We start from the raw sequence: 22,842 nt of genomic DNA, 5'->3' as shown, positions 1-22,842 counted from the left end.
TGCTTAACAAAAAGAGCCAGAAGTTGAGGAGAGAATGAATTTGTGTGAGTGTGCACAGCTAAAATATACACATACACTCATACAGAATATCTCTGAAAAGATACAGAAGAAAATAATAACCTTGGTTACCTCCTGTGAAATCAGCTGGTGGCCCACAAGCTAAATCCTGCCTACATTGTTATATTTGGCCACATATTACTGAAACTTTGAGATATCTTTAGGCAAAGTATAAGCTCTCCAGGTTAGCATAATACTCATCATTCTCCAATTCACCTTATATCCAGCTGATTTGACACGTTTATGTTATCTGCCTGGCTCTTGGAGGGAAATTAGTTGGCAGCATCCCATATGCACATGCATGGACACAGCCAAATATAAAAAGATTAACATAGAAAAGGGGCCTATACAGATATATATGGATATATTTTGAAAGGTTAGTCACAATGATCTCAGAGTGGTTAGACTATGGGTGATTTTTCTTCTGTTTATCAGCATTTCTAAATGTTCTACTCTAAACAGATACTATATTTATAAGATACATTATAAAAGACAGTTTATCTTAAATTTACATTTAAATTAACAACCATTATCAGCCTCCAGCCAATGATGTGGTGGGACAATTACCGTGATGAATTTTGCTTTCTGTTATGATTTTGCAGTAATGTCTGTGCCTATGTCTTTGTATCTGTCTTTATTACAACCCAGGGCAGGTGAATGTATACTATGAGTCCATCACATACTTAACAGAAAAAGCAAATCAGCCAGCATGGTGTCCCCTTTTCAATAAAGAAAAAAGATATTTAAAAGGAATGTTTTTAATATTAACAGGTAATATTTTAATGAGTAGTTTTTACATTGTAATCTAAATAATAATAGCCCACTCTCCTAATCATCCAGATTCCCTTCAGAGACATTCAAAGTTACCAGTTTCGTGTGTATTATTTCAAAGGTTGCCCATATATATAAGTAATTATGAATATATAATCTTTAGGAAAATTTTGCCCAGAGCAAGTTCATTGTTTTTATCTGAGTATTACTAAGATGAATCGGAAATGTTTTTTATTTTTAATGATGTGAACAGACAATTGCTTTGAATTCATTGTGGAACATCATGGTGCTTGTTGCGACAGGAATGCGTAAGTTTCATTCTAACGGTGGCCGCAGGGATATTTCCTCACTTGCTGCAACTGCAGGAAGCAATGAGATGAGCCTCCTAACCAAATATTTCAACCAGGCAAGCAGACTACCTTAGTGATTTTAATGGTGTTCTCCTAATCTGATAATTATTATCCCATTCCTTCCCTGTTGCTGACAAGAAGCCTATAGAGAGTAGCTAGTTTTAAAAGTGAAATGGGCTTGACTGTGAAAATATGCAGCCTTATGATTTTAGTGACAATTTATCTTAGTCAGCGCTAAGTGAATTCAAATCCAATCCATCATATTTCTACCTCCAAATCTCCTAAACAATCCTGAAAAGGCATGATTGTGTCTGCTTCTCCTAAGTCATTTATCATTTTAAAAAGATAAAGTGGTTTCCTGCATAATTAAAAATCAAGAGTTCCCCACTGTGAATGTCTAGATTCTAACCCGGGTGCCTTTGCTGAGGGGGTTGGCAGAGGGCTGAGATACGTGTGTGGACGATGGCCCAGGAGAGATCAACATCCCTTCTTTAATGGCCCATGCAAATGCCACCTCAAGGGAGTAGAGGAGAGACTTTCCACCTTATCATCAGGATGTTACCACATGACTGGTGACCTCTGTAACCTGGTCCTGACCCAGAGAGAAGGAACTGTTTAGGAAGCAGGCGCAAGCTCTCTTCTCTCTCCTTCCTCCTCACTCCTGCTGTCTCCCTGGTGTGACTGAGGCGTGCTGAAAGGTGAGGCTGTCACACAGATCTCTCCAACAGCCTGCCAGAATGCAGAAATGTGACGGGAAGGGTCATGACTCCCAAACAGAATGCTCCCTCGTGATTTCCAGCTGTCACTATTTAGGGTAGCAAGGCTTTCTTCTACTTATTCCAAAGCCTGGGGATTGAGACTTTCCCAAGCTTCTCTTCTGGCAAACCCTTCCTCCACTACTCCATATCAGCACCTCCTGCTGTCAGCTACTTAGAATGTGAGGCCACACTGTGCTTGGAACCCACCCTGGGAAGCTAGGCAGCAGGGGTCAGTCCAATTGCTGAGGATTCTCAGAAGCCTCATTAATTCATGTTGCTTTTATCCCTGGGCTGGCTAGCTCACTTCTCATCCACCCACAAGTGGTCCCGATGACACTGCCCCTACCTTTAGCAACAAATCCTTGGCCTTCCTGAAGCCATCTGACCCCATCATCTCAACACCTCTTTAAAAAGACGCTCTTTCTCTCCACCACTGTTCTCACTCTCAAAGCTTTGTCCTCTATCTTTGGCAAATTCAAAAACAGACCTCAGGAAGAGATTAAAGTTCCAGTCATCTTCACCTACACACCCACTCCCGTTCCTACTCTGCTCTGTATCAGCAAGGCTCAAAGCCCCCAGAGCTGACAAGGAACATGACCATTGCAGACATGGTTCAGTGGTAAGACTTGGGAGAACTTGGGCAATGTATATATCCAGACAACTTTAGTGAAAAGTTCTATCTTTTCAAGGGCCAGGTGACAGCTGTCTCATTTTCTCTGTTAAGAGAAAGACCAAAAAAGGGTGCATTTCTATTTCATGAAAAAATCTCTGCAGAGTAGATTAATCTTCTTAGAGACTTCTACTTTTAACCAATTCAGGGAATAAATGCCATCTAAACTGTAAAGTGGTGAGCCAGCTTTGTCTAAGTGAACCTGCGTGCTTTTCTCTCACTGAATGTGGAAGAGCCACATGAGGATTCATAACCCTATCCAGTTGCTTCACATACAACAGGTGTTGCTATCCAAAGACCTTTACTCTTAGATTTGGGAAGGCATCTAACTGAAAGCAGACTAACACAGTAAGGGAGAGGGAGAGCGTTGCCTGCACCCGAGGGTTGCAAGGCTGGATAAACAGAAAGCCTGGCACTCAGCTTTTGCCTTGGGCTATTGGCTAAAACGACACTGTCTAGTCAAGCAACGTTATCATAAGAAAAACAGGAGAAACCTAATGGTTTCAAGACTAGCACATGGGGAGAATGTGAAATCAGGATGAAACAGCCCGTCTAATGAGAGTGCCAACATTTCTAAAGGACTTCAGGGTCAGTGGAAGTGAAGGTTCATAGGGTAGACACAGCTCTGGATGCAGTCAGGTCCCCAACAATCATCTCAGTGGTTCCTCCAAAAAAGAAGGTCTGACTTGTGCTCTCTGGGTGTTTTTCTGGCCTTTCACTGCCTGCCCGCCCTCACAGAGGAGACACCTCTACTCCCCATTCCCATTCCCACCACACCCACCTGGCTCCTGGATGCACAAGCCCTTCCCAGTAGCCCAGGCCCCTCGAGCCTCACCTGTCCACTGTCATCTTACTCAGTGGTGTGTGGCTTTAGGCAGCACACCCTCTCCAAAGGTACCTCTCACCTGAGTGATAGGTACTCCAGAAGGCGAGCACAGTTCTGAACCCAAATTCTTTATAATTTCACCCAAACCTAATATACAAAAATAAAACAAAACCATACTGAGTGTAACAATTGGGGCCATAATAACTTTAGATAAGAAATTTCCATCATTAGGAAATATAATGGGAAAATCAGTAGTATGTGGGGGAAGGCATTATAGGGTGACTTAAATGGACATCTATCTGGAAGCAAAACAGTGTATAGGTGTCAAAATGTGTGTGTCATTATCAGATACAAGTAGTTTCTTTTATTCAGAGGCCTTATTTTTAGTGACAACCTCATTTTTTTCAGAAAATAATCTGTTCATCACTAAAACTACTTCTGGCTGGTCAGAAACACCACCATCTCAGAGAGGGACTTGAGAGTGACATTAATGCACCAGAGAGAGGCCAGCAAAAAGTGAGGGTGACTTTTATTCTAATGGCTTTCTAGGGAATAAACACCCATAGCAACTCTTCTGCTCTTTCATTATAATTTTTCTGCCATGGTCTATTTAGCTGGGAAACATCTGAAGCCATTTTTACCTAATAAATACCAGATCAAACTTTTCATTGACTTTTTTCTATCATATGAAGTATGTCATTTAAGACATAAGGCAGCCAACATTTAGAGCTACTTTTGAGGATTTCATTACAAAATGTTACTCTTCCCTCCCCCCTCACATTATGAGCTGAGCAGCTTTCAGTACTTGAGTCACATGTATCTAAATGAGGTAAATGTTGAGTTTAAAGCAATTAAGGAGGAGGAGGAGGGATTATTTTTCTTTTGTAATTGGAGAGGATATGTTAATTATTTTTATTTGAAAAGTCAAATCATGCAATTGAAAGCAAAATAAATAAGCATTTCAGTCTCATTTCTCTCAAATGGCCACTGGATGCCTTGAAAGCAAAAAACAACATGAACATCAGATTTAATAATTTTCTAAATAACCAGCAACAAATATGTTCCAAACCTGCAAATAAAATATGAATGCACTTTGTCAGCTAGACACTGAAACTTGAGATGAGGGGCCAGAAAGGTAGAAAGTTACTTAATGGTACAATATAGTACGATATAAGCCTGAGAAAACACCAAAGAGCCTAAGAAGCCCCTTCAAACACTGCTTCACCAGAAAAAATTAAGAGCTGCTATGACCCAACCAAATACCTGCCCCCCAAATTAAGAAGGGTTGATAGGCCCTTCCAGGCCATCCTCCTGCCTGAAGACAGAATGGACATCATTCCAGAGAGACACAAGTTACCTGTCTGTCAAGTGGTTGCAGGAGAAGCCTCAGCTTTCTCCTGAAAGCCATCATAATGCCACAGTCACCACTGCCATCACCTCTTTACTTTCATCTAGCCTGACTCACTTTTTCTGTGAGTTTATCCTTAGTGAAAACAAAGAACAGTTGGTCATCATCTTCTTACACTAATAATCCATCATCTAATTAAGACCGTTTTATGCACCAATAGCAGACTTTTCTCAATGAATTATCTCCAGGCCTCTAGCATCTCCTCTCTGACATAATTTTTTTTTTCTTTTTTAGGTCTTTAGTCATTCTATGGCTCTCCTTTAAACAGCCTTCATGTTTCCCTTCAGGATGTGATGACCGGGCCTGGATACTGTATTCCAACTGTGTTCTGATAGTGCTGACTAGAATAAGGTTATGCCTAACAGATCTGGCAGAGACACAGACAGGAACCAAGACTAGAGATGGAAAGTTCCAACAGGCTTCCGGTCTTTGGTTCTAGTTGGTTCCCAAGGTCCCAAGTCACTCCTGTCTCCTAATAATAAGTTCCCTGATTTTGCTTAAGTTGTCACCACTGTTTTTTTTTTTTTGATACTTGCAAACTTCTCACAAATATATCTGTGTTTAACAGCTGCTCCCAGACATGGCTGCTATAAGACTGACAAGGCTCAGGTCCAGAGCCAGGCAGAAAGAAGGCCTTAAAAGCAAAATGCCAAAGCATTGGCCATTTGACTATGCCCAAAGACCATGTCCTAGAAGTTCCCTCTTCCACCATTGACCCATCAGCACTTAAGCTTCATGACTTCTGTAGATTTTGTACTCCTAGCTAGCTCTACCTAGATGATTGGTGCATTATTATCTTAGATAATAACACTCAACACCCCCAACAGCACAGCTCTAGCCACTCCTCAGTCTTTGCTAAAATCATGATCATCTGTTCCAAAGCCATTATTTTATAGGTATAGAAATGGAGGCTGAGAAAAATATAAAGTGACAACATCAAATGTATAACCCTAAAACAAGCTATTCACTGGACTCCTGCCAATCAATCCACAACTTACCCTGGGGGTCACTGAATTTTTCAGCAATACCTACATTATGAAGCAATTTGCTATGCCAATATTTGCCAGTGTGACCTTCCCCAAAGTGTTTTGTGGTTCTCTATTTCCCCATTTGCTTCTCAGAGTATTTTGTTTCTCTGAACACCAGCACCCTTGGACACCTAGCCCAATGGCCAGTGGTTTTGACCTTAGTTCACCTAAAAAAAAAAAAAAAAAAGGAGAGAGAGAGCGAGAGCTACTCATACAGGAGGAATATCTTCCAGGAAACCTACCTCAAAAAGATTGTCCACTAGAAACATGAGGCAGCTTTTCATTTCCCCTTTATCAAAAATCGTAAAATTGACTCTTCTTCTTATTCAGAATGTATGAGTCCTAGTAAAACTCCTGCTTTCCTAGTTGAAAACCCAAGTCAGAATTTTAAAATATCTTATTTCCACACTATATAAAGGTTATATGCACTGTTATGTCCCTTTCTTACTGTCTTTTTTTTCTCAAGTTCACATCTCAGCATTCCCGTGTTGAATTCTTCTGCTTTTATCTTTAATTACTTCCCCAGGTTACTGTTTACTATCCAGCCCTAATCTCTGCTATTCTGACTACCCTTGCCTTTTCCAAATTCCCATTTTAGGGTCCCTTAAGAACTTAATCAGGTTTTTTAAAAATTTAGTGCCCCATCAATCATGAACCCTTCTCCTAAGCATTCACCTTATATTTTAATATTTGGTCATATCAGAGGAAAGCTAACTTGACTTTCTTGGGAAACTTTGTTGTACATATTTTGTATCCTGTTCTATTTCTAGCCTCCCCTCTGTAGGTCTACACACTTTTGCTGGAACATTACACCTAATCCATTATCCAGAAAATGGAAATATAATACTAAGTGGTTTACTGCAGCCCCCATTTTTTTCATAATGACATAAAAAATTATGACACTTAAAAGCCAATGATCCCTGCAGTCATTTATCCTCAAGTAAGAATAAGTTTATTCTTGTGGAGCAAAATCTGTATCAGATATAGTTCTCACATTGTAAGATATGTACCCTTAATGGATAACATCAGGGCAGCCTGCAAGCACCCAGCATCCATTCTGTACCCTGATGGTGCAGAGCCCATTATCAGAAGGCAGGTAGGCTCTTACCATTCAGATGGAAGGGCCAGCCTTTCAGAAATTCACTGAAGCCTCAATGTCAAATGTGGTTTCACAGAGAGATAATGATTCCTTTCAAACAATGGGAAAATAACTGAGGAAAGTCATTATGTCACTGTTAAAAAATGTTCTCAATGATCCTGCCCTAGCTGTTACCTAATCTGAGTTTTATTTCTAAAGGCTCCTGAGTGAGAAGACTTAAGCACTGCACATACCCAGCTCATGAAGTAATTGCTTTCTATGTAAATCAAATATCGGTAGCAGAATGTGAACAATGCTGGGGTGAAGGGGTGAGGTTACTGGGGGACGATGTAGCAGCTAAAGAAGTTTTAAAACTACACCCACTTTGACAGAGCTCTTAGTCTCTAACACCAACTGGAGAACAGGCAAGCATCTGGCAGATGAGGGCTGTTTACAGAACACCAGCTGCTGGCCTGAGGTGGTTTCTCCAGAGCCATCTGCTTTTAAAGAGGCCCTCACCTGGGCTTCCTGGGGGAGCCACAGGCTATGAGAGATACCCATCCATGCTGACAGCCACATCTCCAGACAGCCTCCTTTGGGAGTAACCAGTTGTCCAGGTATTAGATTCAGTCTCTCAGCCTGGGGCAACTGTGCAACTAACCTTTTCTGATGACCTTCTTTCAAGCCTTCTGCTCCCACTCAGCTCCTGTGAGTTAGCAGCTCTCCTAAATTCCTGATAAAAGAAGTACTGCAGACATATTTCCTGCCACTAGAAATCGGCCCTTGACATCTTCCCAATAAAATATTATGCAGCCATTTGAAATGATGACGCGATTAGATTTATTGGTCAAAAAAAGTTCACACTAGATCGTTAAATTTAAAATGCAGGTTATAAGACAGCAATTTGAGAGTATTTTTTAAATCAATGTTTAAGTGAATGTATTTATAAAAAGGCACTAAAAGGTCTGGAAGAGCTTACATCAAAATATTAACAGAGGCCATCTCTGGAGATTACAGGTTATTTTTTCTTTATGTTTAACTTTATTTTCTAATTATTTAATGTATGTGTACTCTATGTATAATTTTTAAACTAGTAAGTTAAGAGAAAGAAATTCAGCCTCTAAATACGTGGACCAAATTTTCACTCCTCCCTTCTTTATGTTACTTGTTTTTGAGACAGCAGTTATAGAACAGGGGCACTATAGTTTCCCAACTCTCAGGGAAACCTCCATTGGCCACAAGAGTCCCTTGAGTGCTCTGTGCCCTGCAAGAGAATAGAAGAGCCTTATAGAGAAAACTACAACCTTGGTGAACCACCGATTAAACACAGCAGAACCACAGGAGGCTTGCAGGGGGAAATCTAAGTAACATGGCTTTAAAGATTTCTTTAAAGGTGGTAAAAGTCTTTTTAAATAAAATATATTGATTTTAAAACTATTACTATGACCTTTTCTTGATGATCAAAAGCAGATTGAATTTTATTCTTAATCACTGTGCATTTTTTTTGTATTTTTACCACCTCTATCTAATATAAAACATCTGTAGCCTTTGGACTGGACTCCAATTCTCCCCACTACTCTCTGTGTATCGGGTTCACCCCCTCAGCTATGATGCTGCCCTTCACTATATTCCTGCAGTTAATCAACCAAGATTTTGTAAGGATCTTCTCTCTCTGTGCTTCCTATCATCTGTACTACTTGTTTGATTTCAATAATATACAGTTTTATGTGGTTACTTAAAATTTAATGTGTTTATAATTTCACCTCCTAAGATTTAAGCTCATTATCAAGAGATGCTGCGAGTTGTTCCCAAAATACATTCTTTCTTTCCTCCACATAAATAGAACTCCTGATTTTACTTGGGGCACATGGCCACCCATAATGAAGTTCACATTTCTTAACCTTGCTGCAGCTAGATGTGACAATGTAACTAAGTTGTGGCCAATGAGACTTAAGTAAAAGAGTTGTGTGCAACCTCCAGGAAGTGCTGTGAAAAACAGGAAGCATGCTCTTCTTTTCTTCTTTTCCTTGGAAATGTTGACATGATGGCTGGAGCCCACACAGTCAGCTGAGACTCTGAAGTAAAAAATTATATGCCAAGAAATCCAGGGCAATAAGACAGGAGGAAACTGGGCCCTGGTGGTATTAGGAACCTTCCTTGGCAGTCAGGACTGCTTTTTTCGAGATTTATTTCATGTGAAAAACAAACTTACATCCAGTTTAAGCCATTGTAATTTAGGGGTTTCTGTCACCCACAGCTGAACTCACCGTAACTGGTAAAAACAGTGCATGACCATATTTTCATTCATTCTGAAATGATTTCCTGAATATTCACTGCGTGCCAAGCACTGTCCTGGCTCTGGAAATGCAGCACTGAACAAAGCAGAGCCTCTCCCCTTGTAAAGCTTTGTTCTAGTGCAGTATCCACACAGCTCCTAACACAGTGCTACACAGTAGCACTGAACAGGTAGGTGCTGAAATATTGGATGAATGAGTTCACAATGAGCCCTACTGTTTATCCTTTAGTATTAAACTGATTTTGTTTATAAATCTGAAATTCGGCCGGGCGCGGTGGTTCACACCTATAATCCCAGCACTTTGGGAGACCGAGGCAGGAGGAGCACAAGGTCAGGAATTTGAGACCAGCCTAGCCACATAACGAAACCCCATCTCTATTAAAAATAGAAAAATCGGCCGGGCACAGTGGCTCATGCCTGTCATCCCAGCACTTTGGGAGGCCAAGGTGGGAGGATCACAAGGTTAGGAGTTCGAGACCAGCCTGGCCAATATGGTGAAACCCCGTCTCTACTAAAAATACAAAAAAATTAGCCAGGTGTAGTGGCACATTCCTGTAATCCCAGCTACCCGGAAGGCTGAGTGAGGCAGGAGAATTGCTTGAACCCAGGAGGTGGAGGTTGCAGTAAGCCGAGGTCACGCCACTGCACTCCAGCCTGGGCAACAGAGTGAGACTCCATCTCAAAAAATAAATAAATAAATAAATAAAAATACAAAAATTAGCCAGGCATAGTGGCACGCACCTGTAGTCCCTGTAGTACTCGGGAAGCTGAGGCAGGAGAATGGCTTGATCCTAGGAGGTGCAGGTTGTGGTGAGCCAAGATCGCACCACTGCACTCCAGCCTGGGCAAGAGAGTGAGACTCCATCTCAAAAAAAAAAAAAAAAAAAAAAAAAAAAAAAAAAAAAAAAATCTGAAAATCTTTGTATGACTAATGCTCAAAAAAAGAATCACAACTGTTTTTTAAAAGAAAGAAAATTATTTAACCAAACTTCCATTACCATACACTCTGCCCCCCAAAAATAAACACATTAACAAAGTTCTATTGATACCTTTTAAAATATAATGAAAAATGATGACAGCCCAAAATAATGAATTGTAGTGTTACACAAACCCCCATTTTTCTATTTCTTTCTTTTTTTTTTTTTTTTGAGGCAGGGTCCCACTCTGTCACTTAGGTTGAAGTACAGTGACATGATCATGGCTCACTGCAGCCTTGACCTCCTGGGCCCAAGCAATCCTCCCACCTCAGCCTCCTCGGTTGCCAGGACCACAGGTTTGCACCACCACACCTGGCTAATTATTTATTTATTTATTTATTTATTTATTTATTTATGTCTCTCTATGTTGCCCAGAATGGTGTCTTGAACTCCTGGACTCAAGCAATCCTCCCACCTTTGCCTCCCAAAGTGCTGGGATTACACACGTTAGCTACCATGTCCAGCCCTCTATTTCCTTATCCATAATAGGAACGTGTATAGGACTGTTGTGAGAATTAAATGAGATAATGTCTCAGAAAAGGTTAATAAATATTAGCTACATTCATTCAACAATAAATATTAACAGTCTTAAAAATAATCACATTCAGTAGTTCCATTTCTGGGATTCTATTCTAAGAAAATAATCCTTAATATGGGGGGGAAATCTTAACCAAAAAAGTTCATCCCAGTGTTATTTATAGGCAGAAACTAGAGATTTAGTGACCTTTTCCTTCCGTCCAATGGTGAGCTAAGGCCTAGCACTCTGGCTCAAGCACAGATCTATAAACCCAGGACTAGCCGGGAAGAGGCAGACAGGATTGGAAAGAAGCGGAGAAGAAAGGAGATTTTAAGTCCAAATTCCTGGCAAGGCAGACTTACAAGAAGAAAAAGTTCAAGATGTCAAGTACATCGGGGTAGGGCCAAGCAAGAGAGCCAAAACAAAGCTTGACCCCTGAGATCAGGCCCCCCAAGGGAATGTTCCAGAATGTGGATCCTGGAGATATGCCCTGAGAATGGGTGGGGAAGAGAAGGAAGAAGCCTCCGCGGAGCATCTCAGTCCCAGTCAGTGGGTGGGCCAGTAGACACTGGGTCCTAAATAGAAACAAGAAAAATTTCCATCGAGAGGGGAATGGATAAATAATTGAATACTGCAATAAAATAGGATGTAACAACTACAAAATACTGATTAGAAAGACTATAGTAATCTAAGAAAATCCTTGACTAATGCAAGCATATATGTTTATGTATATGTAGTACATGTGACATATATAAGGAATTATGTGTATGTATAAGTAAGTGTACATATATGCTTACATATATGTACATACATATGGACATATGGTATGTACTTATGTGTAAGCATATATGTATAAATATATAAATCTCATATATATATATGAGATAGTAACTATGGCATATGCATAGAAAAAAATACTTAGAGGAACCATAGCAAAATGCTAATGATTGTTTGATTAGGAAAGTAAATGGTGATTTGCCTTTTCTGTATATTTGTTAAATTTTATGTAATGTATAGGTTTAGATTACTTTTATATTTAAAAACTTAAGTAGGGAGGCAAAAGGAAAATTAGGTACATTTATCTGAATCTAATAGTACCGCTTTTCCAGAAATTTGTTTCTTAAGAGTGAAATTTGTGTGTCTTAGGCAATGAGCCATATTTTTAGCCTCCTAAATCCTTTCCTCTAAATGTCAATTGATGAGTTACTGGAAAAAGAATCTTTCTCTTTAACTAGTTGTGGCTCTTTTGGAAGAATTGTAACTCTTGGCTAACATGGGATATTATTTGGAGGACAAAACTCAAAACTCATTTATGGGATCCACTCTAATGGCCAGCAAGTACCTAGGCCCTTTCCAAAGGTCCTAACTTGCTCCCAAGGTGAACCCTATTCACATGTTGCATGAGGTATGAGGTATTCGAAAGAAAGTAAAATGCTACAAATACAAATATTATTACCTTCCTCTCATATATTTTTTCATTTCTATTAGAAACTTACTGACAGAATGTCTCCTTTCAGTCCCTGGATTCACCAGAACCCAGGCAGTTCATTTGTAATTTTGGTAACTCTACAGCCATGATCAGAATCAATCTATGTGACAGATTGACCATGGGATTATCAATACCAACTTTTAGGCCTTCCAAAGACCTCCCATGAAATAAATCCCCAAATCAAATCAAGTGAATATTTAAAATAACATCCTTAGTTATCAAAGCTTGATATTTAATTTTTGGATGAATTTTTTTAATTTAGAATATTAAATTTGTTTCTAAAAGCTCCTCTAAACAATTGGGAAAAATGTGATCATAGACTGGATATTAGATAAGACAAAATGCATTTAAATAGCAGATATTCTTAACTTTAAAAAGCAAGTGGCAAAATTCGGGCACGGTGGCTCACACCTGTAATCCCAGCACTTTGGGAGGCCGAGGTGGGTGGATCATTTGGGGTCAGGCATTCAAGACCAGCCTGGCCAACATGGTGAAACCCCATCTCCACTAAAAATACAAAAATTAGCTGGATGTGTTGGCGTACACCTGTAGTCCCAGCTACTCGGGAGGCAGAGGCAGGAGAATCGCTTGAACCCCGGGAGGTGGAGGTTGCAGTAAGCCAAGATCGCACCACTGTACTCCAGCCTGGGGGACAGAGCAAGACTCTGTCTCAAAAAAAAAAAGAAAAAAAAAAGCAAGTGGCAAAATAGCTAGTGAAGTGTGACCTTATTCTCAGAAAAAATACATATATGCATAATTGGAAAGAGATATGGGAGAACAGACAGTAAAGAGGTGGCAGGAATCATCCCTGGAAAATAAAAAGGAGTTTATATTCTTGCTTACATTATATATATATATGGCTTATTTATGTTATTTTTACTTTCTGCAATACACATATACTGTGTTTGTAATAACAAAAGGTTATTTTCAGTTGAAAAATAAAAGTTCCCCTTAGTCTTAAAAATTTAGATCTTTGCATTTCCTGGTTCTGTCTAGGTACCATGTTCAAATTAAAATGCCAGAACCTACTATAATGCCAAAAATGTGGGAACAACCTCTTCTTAAGTAAGGAATATAAATTTTAAAAGAAAATATCATGGGAAAAAGTTGCTCTTGCAAGACTCCCTGCCCAAGTTCAAAGGCATAATACATTTTGCATAAGATTTTGATAAATAAATATATTTTAGGGCTGTATACAATACCAAATTCGTACTCTGATCATTTTGATTTTTGCCCACCGTTAATCAATGTCTCCCAAAGAAACTCTGAAACTTTATATCCTAGTATCTATTTATAGTATTCCCTTTAAAATATAACAGCAAGATAAACTAGTGATAAGAAATACTTCCTACTTTGGTAACCCTGAAATATTCACCTGTAATAGTTAAATATAAAAGTAAATTATTCATTGACCACTTCAGCTGTAATGATTCCAAAGCAGCTGTTGTTTACCTGGGCAACAGTCTTCAAATCAAAATAATTCTCTGAATCAAATTTGGGTTCCACGCTGTTAGTCCTTATGTTCAACAGATAGGTTGTAATAGCTCCAAAATAACCACTGTGGGCCAAGAAGTAAAAAACCCTTTTCAAAAGCATAATTATATATTGTATTTATATTATAGTCAGAGATATTATGGTAAGGTAAATAACTAAAAGTGACAGTTCTGAAACCCAACAAAATGACTCACAAGGAAACAAAAGGCACTTTTACACCACCTTTCAGGCAATATGCATATGTATAGAGAATGTTATTTCCTTAGCCACAAAGAAAGAATTGTATAGGAATAAATGATTACGTAGTTCTCCTCTACCCTCCAAATTAAAGGTTTGCACCTAGAAAAAAGTAAAATAAAACTTAATGTTCCAATCTTTGTCATTGATAAAGGATTTCCTTGCTTTTAATGACTTGCTTGCTATTACATCATATTTTAAAACCAGAATACAGAAAGCCTATATATGTTTTTCAGAGTAGGGTATGGAATCTGGGTGAAGCACATGGCTGGCTCTCCTGCAGGACTCTGCTGGGTCTTTGAATTGTATCCATATGAAAAATAAATGGGTCAGTAGAGTTCTGGTTCTGCCAGGGCAGTGTGAGCCCAAAATATCCTATCCCTCCTGCTGATTACAACTAAAGACGTGGACAAAAACATGGGAGGAAAAAACTACCTGAGGACTGTAAAAGTAAACAAAAGCAGGTGTATTCGGGGGGATTGGTGAGTTTTTCCCATTTTTTTTTTTTCTGATGCAGCTTTATCCTGAGGGCAGGCCCCAGTGGCCTATTCATAGCTAAAATTCCAATAGAAACATGTCTTTCTGGCCAGAAGAACTGGGAAACGTTAACCAGATGGGGCAGGTGAGTGAGAGAAATTCCAAAGGGGAAAGAACTAGAGAAAGTGGTCCCCTAATTCTGTGTATGAACCCTAGGCTCAGTCTATCATCTGAGTCAAGAATGCACAGAACAGACACAAACCACTATAGCAAAGACCTTCAAAATTTAACTGAGATATAAACCACCCGCATAAGTCTCAGACTAACCCCTGAACTATGCATGTGCAGGACAGACCCAAAGCAGCACAGCACAGACATATAATTTATTATAAAATTTAAACCAGTGCCCACAGAAGATCATCAGAACTTAGTCACAGCCTAACCGCACTGATTGACTGCTAAAGCAAAAACATCAACATTCTTCTAAGGATTACAAAAGGACTTAGAAACTATGCACTATAACACTGACAATGTTCAGGATGCAATCCAAAATTACTTGACAACCAAAGAAACAGGAAAATGTGACCAATTCTTTTTTTTTTTTTTTTTTTTTTTGAGACGGAGTCTCGCTCTGTCACACAGGCTGGAGTGCAGTGGCACGATCTCAGCTCACTGCAAGCCCCGCCTCCCAGGTTCACACCATTCTCCTGCCTCAGCCTCCCGAGTAGCTGGGACTACAGGTGCCTGCCACCACGCCCAGCTAATTTTGTTTTTGTATTTTTAGTAGAGACGGGGTTTCACCGTGTTAGCCAGGCTGGTCTCCATCTCCTGACCTCGTGATCCACCTGCCTTGGCCTCCCAAAGTGCTGGGATTACAGGCGTGAGCCACCACACCCAGCCAAATGTGACCAATTCTTAAGGTAGAAACAATCAACACATGCCAACCCCAAAATAACCTCAATGTTGAAACTATCAAAGACTTTAAAGGAGCTATTATAACTACATTCCATGAGATAAAGGAAAATACATTTGAAATGAATAAAAAGACAAAAATTCTTGGTACAGAAATAGAAACTATAAAAAAAAAGGAACCGTTTGGAAACTTTAGAACTAGAAAATATAATATCTGAAATTTAAAAAAAAAGCTCATTGGAGGCACTCAATAGCAGAATGGAGATAACAAAGGAAAGATTAAATGAAGGTGAAGATAGATCAATAGAAATTATTCAAATTAAAAGACCGGGCATGGTGGCTCACACCTGTAATCCTAGCACTTTGGGAGGCCAAGGCTGGCAGATCACTTGAGCTCAGGAGTTCAAGACCAGCCTGGCGAACATGGAGAAACCTTGTCTCTACAAAGAAATGCAAAAATTAGCTAGGTGTGGTGCCACATGCCTGTACCAGCTACTTGGGAGGCTGAGGTGGGAGGATCACTTGAGCCCAGGAGGTTGAGGCTGCAGTGAACCATGATCATGTCACTGCACTCAGCCTGAGTGGGACACTGTCTAAAAAAAAAAAAAAAAAAGATGATCAAGACCTCCACACTACAAAACATTGCTGAAGAAAACTGAAGACCAGCCAGGCATGTTGGCTCATACCTGTAAAGCCAGCACTTTGGGAGGCCAAATCAGGAGGATCACTTGAGCCCAGGGGTTCAAGACCAGCCTGAGCAACATAGTCCGACCTCATCTCTACTAAAAATAAAAAATAGTAGCCAGGCGTGGTGGCATGCCTGTAGTCCCACCTACTTGGAAGGCTGAGGCAGGAGGATCACTTGAGCCCAGGAGATCTAGAAAAAGAACCAAATAAATGGAAAGGTATCACATACTTAAAATGAAAGACTCGTTGTTAAGGTAGCCCTATTTTTTTTTTTTTTTTTTTGAGACAAGGTCTCACTCTGTCACCCAGGCTGGAATGCAGTGGCACAATCACAGTTCACTGCAACCTTGGACTCCTGGGATCAAGTGATCCTCCCACCTCAGCCTCCAGAGTAGCTGGGACTACAGGTGCACACCACCACACCCAGCTAATTTTTCTTTTTATTTATAGTAGAGTCGAGGTCTTACTATGTTGCCCAGGCTGGCAATATCCTCATAGTAATGCATACTCTATGGGATACCAATAAAAATTTTAGCAGGCCTTAATTTTTTGTAGAAATGGACAACCTAATTCTAAAATGTATATGATAATGCAAAGGATCTAGAGTAATCAGAGGAATTAAAAAAAGGAGGAGTAGGAGGAAAAGAAGGAGAAAGAGAAAGGCAAAATTAGAGGACTTACCCTAACTGATTCCAAGACTCACTACTATAAAGCTACAGAAATCAAGACAATTTGGTATTGGTGATATATAAACCAAATATCACAGAACTTCTGAAAGAAAGCATAGCAGAAAATCTTTGCTAACTTGGATTAGGCAAAGGTTTCCTAGATAGGACACCAAAATAATAAACCATGTAAAAAGAAATAGAAAATTGGACTTGATCAAAATTAAAAACTTTTGTTCTTCATGAGGCACCATTAAGAAAGTAAAATGCAAGCCACAGACTGGGAGAAAATATTTGCAACATATATGCAAGGACTTTTTCCAGAGAACTTATAAAGGACTCTTATAGCTCAATAATAAGAAACCAAACAATCCAATTTTTAAAATGGACAAAATATTAAACAGATGCTTCAGCAAAGAAGATATACAGACGGCCAATAAGCCTGTGAAAAGATGCTCATCATTAGGCATCAGGGAATGCAAGTGAAAGCCACAATTATATACCACTAATCATCCATTAGATTAGCTAAAAGTAAAAAGAATGAGCATGCCAAGTGCTGACAGGGATATAGAGCAACTGAAACTCTCACAAACTGCTAGTAGAAATATAAAATGATAGAACCAGTTTGGAAGGTATTTTGTAGTTTCTCAAAAAGTTAAACACACACCTATGATAACACCCAAGCATTCCACTCCAAAGTATTTACGCAAGAGAAACAAAGATGCCCGACCACACAAAGACCTTGCATGAATGTTCATCACAGCTTTATTGGTAACAATCCCAAACTGGAAATAACCCAAACATCCAACAAGAAGTAAATGGATAAACAAATTGTTGTATATCCATAGAAAAGAACATAACTCAGCGATTAAAAAGGAATGAACCACTGATACATGAAACAACACGAATAGATCTAAAATATTATGCTGAATGACAATTCAGGAAAAAAGTATACACTGTTTATTCCAATTTATATAGAATTCTAGAAAAGACAAAGTAATCTATAATGACAGAAAGCACATCAGTGGTTGCCTAGGGAATGGAGTAAAAGAAGAGATGGATTACAAAGTTCTCAAGGAAACTATTGAGAATGATGGAAATGCTTGCTATATTGATTGTGATAGTTACATAGGTGTGTACATGTGTGAAAACTGATCAAATTGTACACTTCCAATATGTGCATTTTATTGTACTTCAATTTTCCATCAATAAAGTTGTACCAAAAAAGTGGAGGGAGGCCAGGCGTGGTGGCTTGTGCCTGTAATCCCAGCACTTTGGGAGGCCAAGGCAGGCGATCACGAGGTCAAGAGATGGAGACCATCCTGGCCAACATGGTGAAACCCTGTCTCTACTAAAAATACAAAAATTAGCTGGGCGTGGAGGCGGGCGCCTGTAGTCCCAGCTACTTGGGAGGCTGAGGCAGGAGAATCGCTTGAATCCGGGAGGCAGAGGTTGCAGTGAGCCGAGATCACGACACTGCACTCCAGCCTGGGCGACAGAGTGAGACTCTGTCAAAAAAAAAGAAAAAGAAAGAGAGAGAGAGAAAGAAAGAAAGAGAAATGAAGGAAGGGAGGGAGGGAGGGAGGGAGGAAGGAGAGAGGGAAGGAAGGAAGGAAGGAAGGAAGGAAGGAAGGAAGGAAGGAAGGAAGGAAGGAAGGAAGGAAGGAAGGGAGAGAGACAGAGAGAGACAGAAAGAAAGAAAGAGTGAGTGAGTGGAGGGAGGAGGACCCAATTTATTGACAAAAGCAATGGGTGGCTCTATGGTTTCTGTTTCCAGCCATACCGTGGACTAGAAAACCTGATATTTTCACTGCTAAACATTTAGAAATGATTAATAAACTATTACAAACACCTCTTAAGTGTATACTTTGGGCTCCCCTTGAAGAGTTGGGAGAGAGGCTGCTGGTCCCTTAAGCAAGGAGACTTGGTTTTGATAGTCACTCAGGGACAAAAACTTGGCCCTTACAGGGTAGGATTCAGGAATGAGACTGCCCTATATTCCTGAGATCACTGAAGGGCTACACCCTTAGTGAAAGACTGGACTAGAAAAAAAATTCACTCGCTGGTCCAGGATGAAAATAAGGAAGCTAGGCTGAGCACGGTGGCTCACGCCTGTAATCCCAGCACTTTGGAAGGCCGAGGTGGGTGATCACTTGAGACTAGGAGTTCGAGTCCAGCCTGAGCAACATAGCAAAACCCTGTCCCCACTAAAAAGACAAAAAATTAGTCGAGCATGGTGGCATGTGCCTGTAGTCCCAGCTACTGGGGAGGCTGAGGTGGGAGGATCGCTTGAACTCAGGAGGCGAAGGTTGCAGTGAGCCGAGATCTCGCCACTGCAACTCCAGGCTGGGCAACAGAGTGAGACTCTGTCTCAAAAAAATAAAAAAGAAAAGAAGGAAGCTTATGGGCCTCGTTTGCCTCTGAGAACATGTAACCACAACCTATCCCTCATATGCACTTAGGATTTGAATTTATACAACCTCTGTAGTCAGGGAAACCCACCACAGATAAATTAACTTAAAAAGTGGTCCAGCTTGGAAATATCCCTGAGGCACCTGGCAGAAAAAACACAAAATTTCTCTGTATGGCAAAATCTTTAACCAAGCCTCACCAGATTCCTTCAATAATACCTCACTAAAAGCAAGCTCACAATACAAAATAACCAAATATATAAGAAAACCAGAAAGGCAATAATGTGTGTATAACAAATGTATAACATTTGGGTAGCACTTTGTTGCTAAATATTAGAATGTTTCTAAGCAGGGCAATTTCAAGTAACCTACAAAATCTGATATCTTTTCCTCAGTGAGGAAATATTTGGAACCCCATTAAAAAGAATTGGGAATGATATTCTGCCATACAGGTCCAAGAAATGGAGGATGCAAGTTATAAAATAATAAACATAGCTTGAAACTTCATTTTGAAGAAAAACTACAGAGGTTATGTATTTGTATGTACATATAACAGAGTATAGAAATGTATACACTAAATTTACCAAAAAGTAGGATTTGGGGAGGATTGAGGGGGAAGAGTTCTTAAAATTGACATATTGTTCAGATATAGTTTTTTCTTTTGACAATGAGCATTTGTAATTTTTTTAAATAAAGGAAAATATTTTTAGGAGCTCTTTTGCTTGTAACAACAACAGCAACTATTTTGTCATTGAAAATAACGGACAAAACCCAGTTTTCTGAGTGCAGTACAACTGCGAGCTACAGGAAAGTCAAGCAATGGACTAGGAGAAGGACAAACCCAAGATTCTTTGAAAATCCTGTTTTTCACACTTCTCTTAATTTGGCATCCTGTCACCTACAATGTAATTACTCAGGTGGTTCTTAGAAAGTGTCCCCTTCCGAGAATAATGCTTATTGAGAACAACTTGGAAATGATTCAAGAATTGACTGCAGGTCACAATTGCCTTACGCAATAAACTTTATAGCTATGCCCCAAAGAGATCAGATCACAGCATTAGAAAAGATGGTGAGATCATCCCCTCACTTGTGGTTGGCTTAGATCTAGTCAAGTAATCAAAGAAATTCTGAATACTAAAAGACTAGTAACTCTACATTTTGAAGAATTGAGTTGAGATGCCTTAAAACAAACAAACAAACAAACAAAGATGTCTTGCTAAAAGATGTGACCAAAAGCCTTGCTAGAGGTAAGAAATATATAAAGTATAGAAAAAAAGGAACATTTCCAAGACAAAATGTAAAAAATGAATAGTAAGGGATTTTTGTTGCATTAAAACTCAGCATCTGAAATTCAGCATTTGAAGAGTTAATTTTAATTGGATATATTTCATAATAAGTATCTGAATTATGAGAGAGACTGAGCTGATTCTATAATTTCCTTTTAATAAAATTTATCCTCCCATTGGCCAAATTTGGGACATGCTGAACATCAAAAAGAACAGAGACTGTAAAATGATTATAAAACATCAGATAAATAAAACTCCATGTGTCCGTAATGATATTCAAAGAGAAAAAGAAAAAATAAGGAAGGCTCTTTTTTAAGAATGTCAACTAATAAAAGTAGAAGGAAGGATATTTAGAAAACTATCACTTTGTATCTCCACAGCAATCACTGATTCAAGCAAAGATCAGCCATGGCCAGGCGCAGTGGCTCACGCCTGTAATCCTAGCACTTTGGGAGGCCAAGACAGGCGGATCACCTGAGGTCAAGAGTTCAAGACCAGCCTGGCCAACGTGGTGAAATCCCGTCTCTACTAAAATACAAAAATTAGCTAGGCATGATGGCGGGTGCCTGTAATCCCAGCTACTCAGGAGGCTGAGGCAGCATAATCGCGTGAACCCGGAAGACGGTGGTTGCAGTGAGCCGAGATCGCGCCACTACAACTCCAGCCTGGGCGGCTGAGCGAGACTCTGTCTCAAAAAAAAAAAAAAAAAAAAAAGAATCAGCCACATAAGCTAAAGCCATTAAGTGGAATTTGTTGAGGGATAGGACAGCCACAGTACCAAAGAATCCATCCCCAAATATTATTTGCATAAGAAGACTTACTTTTATCATGAAGAAATCTATGTTCACCAACTTATCATGAAGAAATCTATGTTCACCAACTTAATCAAGGTATCACTCAAATAGTGGGACAGCCTGCTGCTGTTTCTTGATGTGAAAGAGTAAGAGTATACAACATCATTAGTGAAATATTCTTGCCAAGAATGTTTAACCTGAATTCAATCAAGTCTCACCCAGTTTACAGGAAATAAAGGGCCTGGATTCTAAGACAACATAAGGAAACAACCAAATCCAACATGTTGGCCTTTCTACAAGAAAACTGTCCTTACTCTTTAAAAACCCAATTATCTGGCCAGGCACGGTGGCTCACGCCTGTAATCCCAGCACTTTGGGAGACGGAGGCAGGTGGATCACTTGAGGCCAGGGGTTCAAGACCAGCCTGACAAACTCATCTCTACTAAAAATACAAACTAGCTGGTCACACTGGCTCAGGCCTGTATTCCCAGCTACTCGTGAGGCTGAGGTGGAAGGATCGCTTGAACCTGTGAGGCAGTCGTTGCAGTGAGCCAATATCATGCCACTGCACTCCAGCCTGGGGGAGAGAGCCAGACTCCATCTCAAAAATAAATAGGTCGGGCGCGGTATCTCATGCCTATAATCCCAGCACTTTGGGAGGCTGAAGGGGATGGATCACAAGGTCAGGAGTTCAAGACCAGCCTGACCAACATGGTGAAACCCTGTCTCTACTAAAAATACAAAAAAATTAGCCAGGCATGGTGACGCACACTGTAATCCCAGCTACTCAGGAGGCTGAGGCAGGAGAATTGCTTGAACCTGGGAGGTGGAGGTTGCAGTGAGCCAAGATCAAGCCACTGCATTCCAGCCTCCCCGACAGAGTGAGACTCTGTCTCAATAAATAAATAAAAACCTAGCATCTTTTGTTTAATGTGGGGAGACTGTTCTAGACTAAAAAGAAACCTACAACCTACAATCAAATGCAATGCATGACATTGACTGAATCCTGCTTTGTAGGGGAGGTAGGAGGGCACAAAGCTGCTATTAAGAAGTTCTTGAAACACATTGGGAAATTTTCTATATTAATATTTGATATTATGAATTACTACTGATTTTCCTTAAGTGTGATCATGATATTGTGGGTATACAGGGGAATCTCCTTGTTCTTGGGTAATGCATGCTTTTTAAAGATAGAATATCATGATACCTGAAATTTACTTTAAAATATTTTATCAGTGTGGGGTAAGGAGAGGGGAGGATTGCTATTATATGTTTTTGACCTGAAAAATCAGTAATATAGTTAAACCTAATACATACATACAGTTACAGCAAGCATGGCAAAATGTTGGCAACTGTTGAATCTAGGTGGCATATAGTTGTTTATTATATTATCCTTTCAACTTTTCCATGTTTGAGATTTTTTGTAATAAAAAGTTGGGAGAAGGGATTCTTTTCAGAAATATTTTCCTTAGATGACACCTATAAAATTTACCTTAAATTTTAAAGTACCTTAACTAGAAGTTGTCTGCTTTCCTTCATTTGCTTGCTCATCGTCCATTCTAATACTAAAACCTATCTATATTGCAAATGATATTCTTATGCTAGAATAGGTCTAACATAAATCTCACAAATAACACCAATAACCAGCACAAGA

At 39.6% G+C, this 22,842-nt stretch overlaps 2 annotated features.

The window, feature by feature from the left end:
• Nucleotides 6,994–7,494: an enhancer, noted in NCBI's record as "H3K27ac hESC enhancer chr14:59130388-59130888 (GRCh37/hg19 assembly coordinates)". NCBI's record gives its function as "activates a minimal SCP1, AML or CMV promoter by ChIP-STARR-seq in naive H9 embryonic stem cells {active_cell/tissue: H9 hESC(naive)}" and the evidence as "EXISTENCE:reporter gene assay evidence [ECO:0000049][PMID:30033119]".
• Nucleotides 7,495–7,996: an enhancer, noted in NCBI's record as "H3K27ac hESC enhancer chr14:59129886-59130387 (GRCh37/hg19 assembly coordinates)". NCBI's record gives its function as "activates a minimal SCP1, AML or CMV promoter by ChIP-STARR-seq in naive H9 embryonic stem cells {active_cell/tissue: H9 hESC(naive)}" and the evidence as "EXISTENCE:reporter gene assay evidence [ECO:0000049][PMID:30033119]".

The sequence above is a fragment of the Homo sapiens genome, chromosome 14, assembly GCF_000001405.40.
Source record: "Homo sapiens chromosome 14, GRCh38.p14 Primary Assembly".
In the NCBI taxonomy this organism is placed as follows: domain Eukaryota; kingdom Metazoa; phylum Chordata; class Mammalia; order Primates; family Hominidae; genus Homo; species Homo sapiens.
Note: the sequence above shows the minus strand (reverse complement) of the source record. Positions and strands in the feature narration are given on the sequence as shown.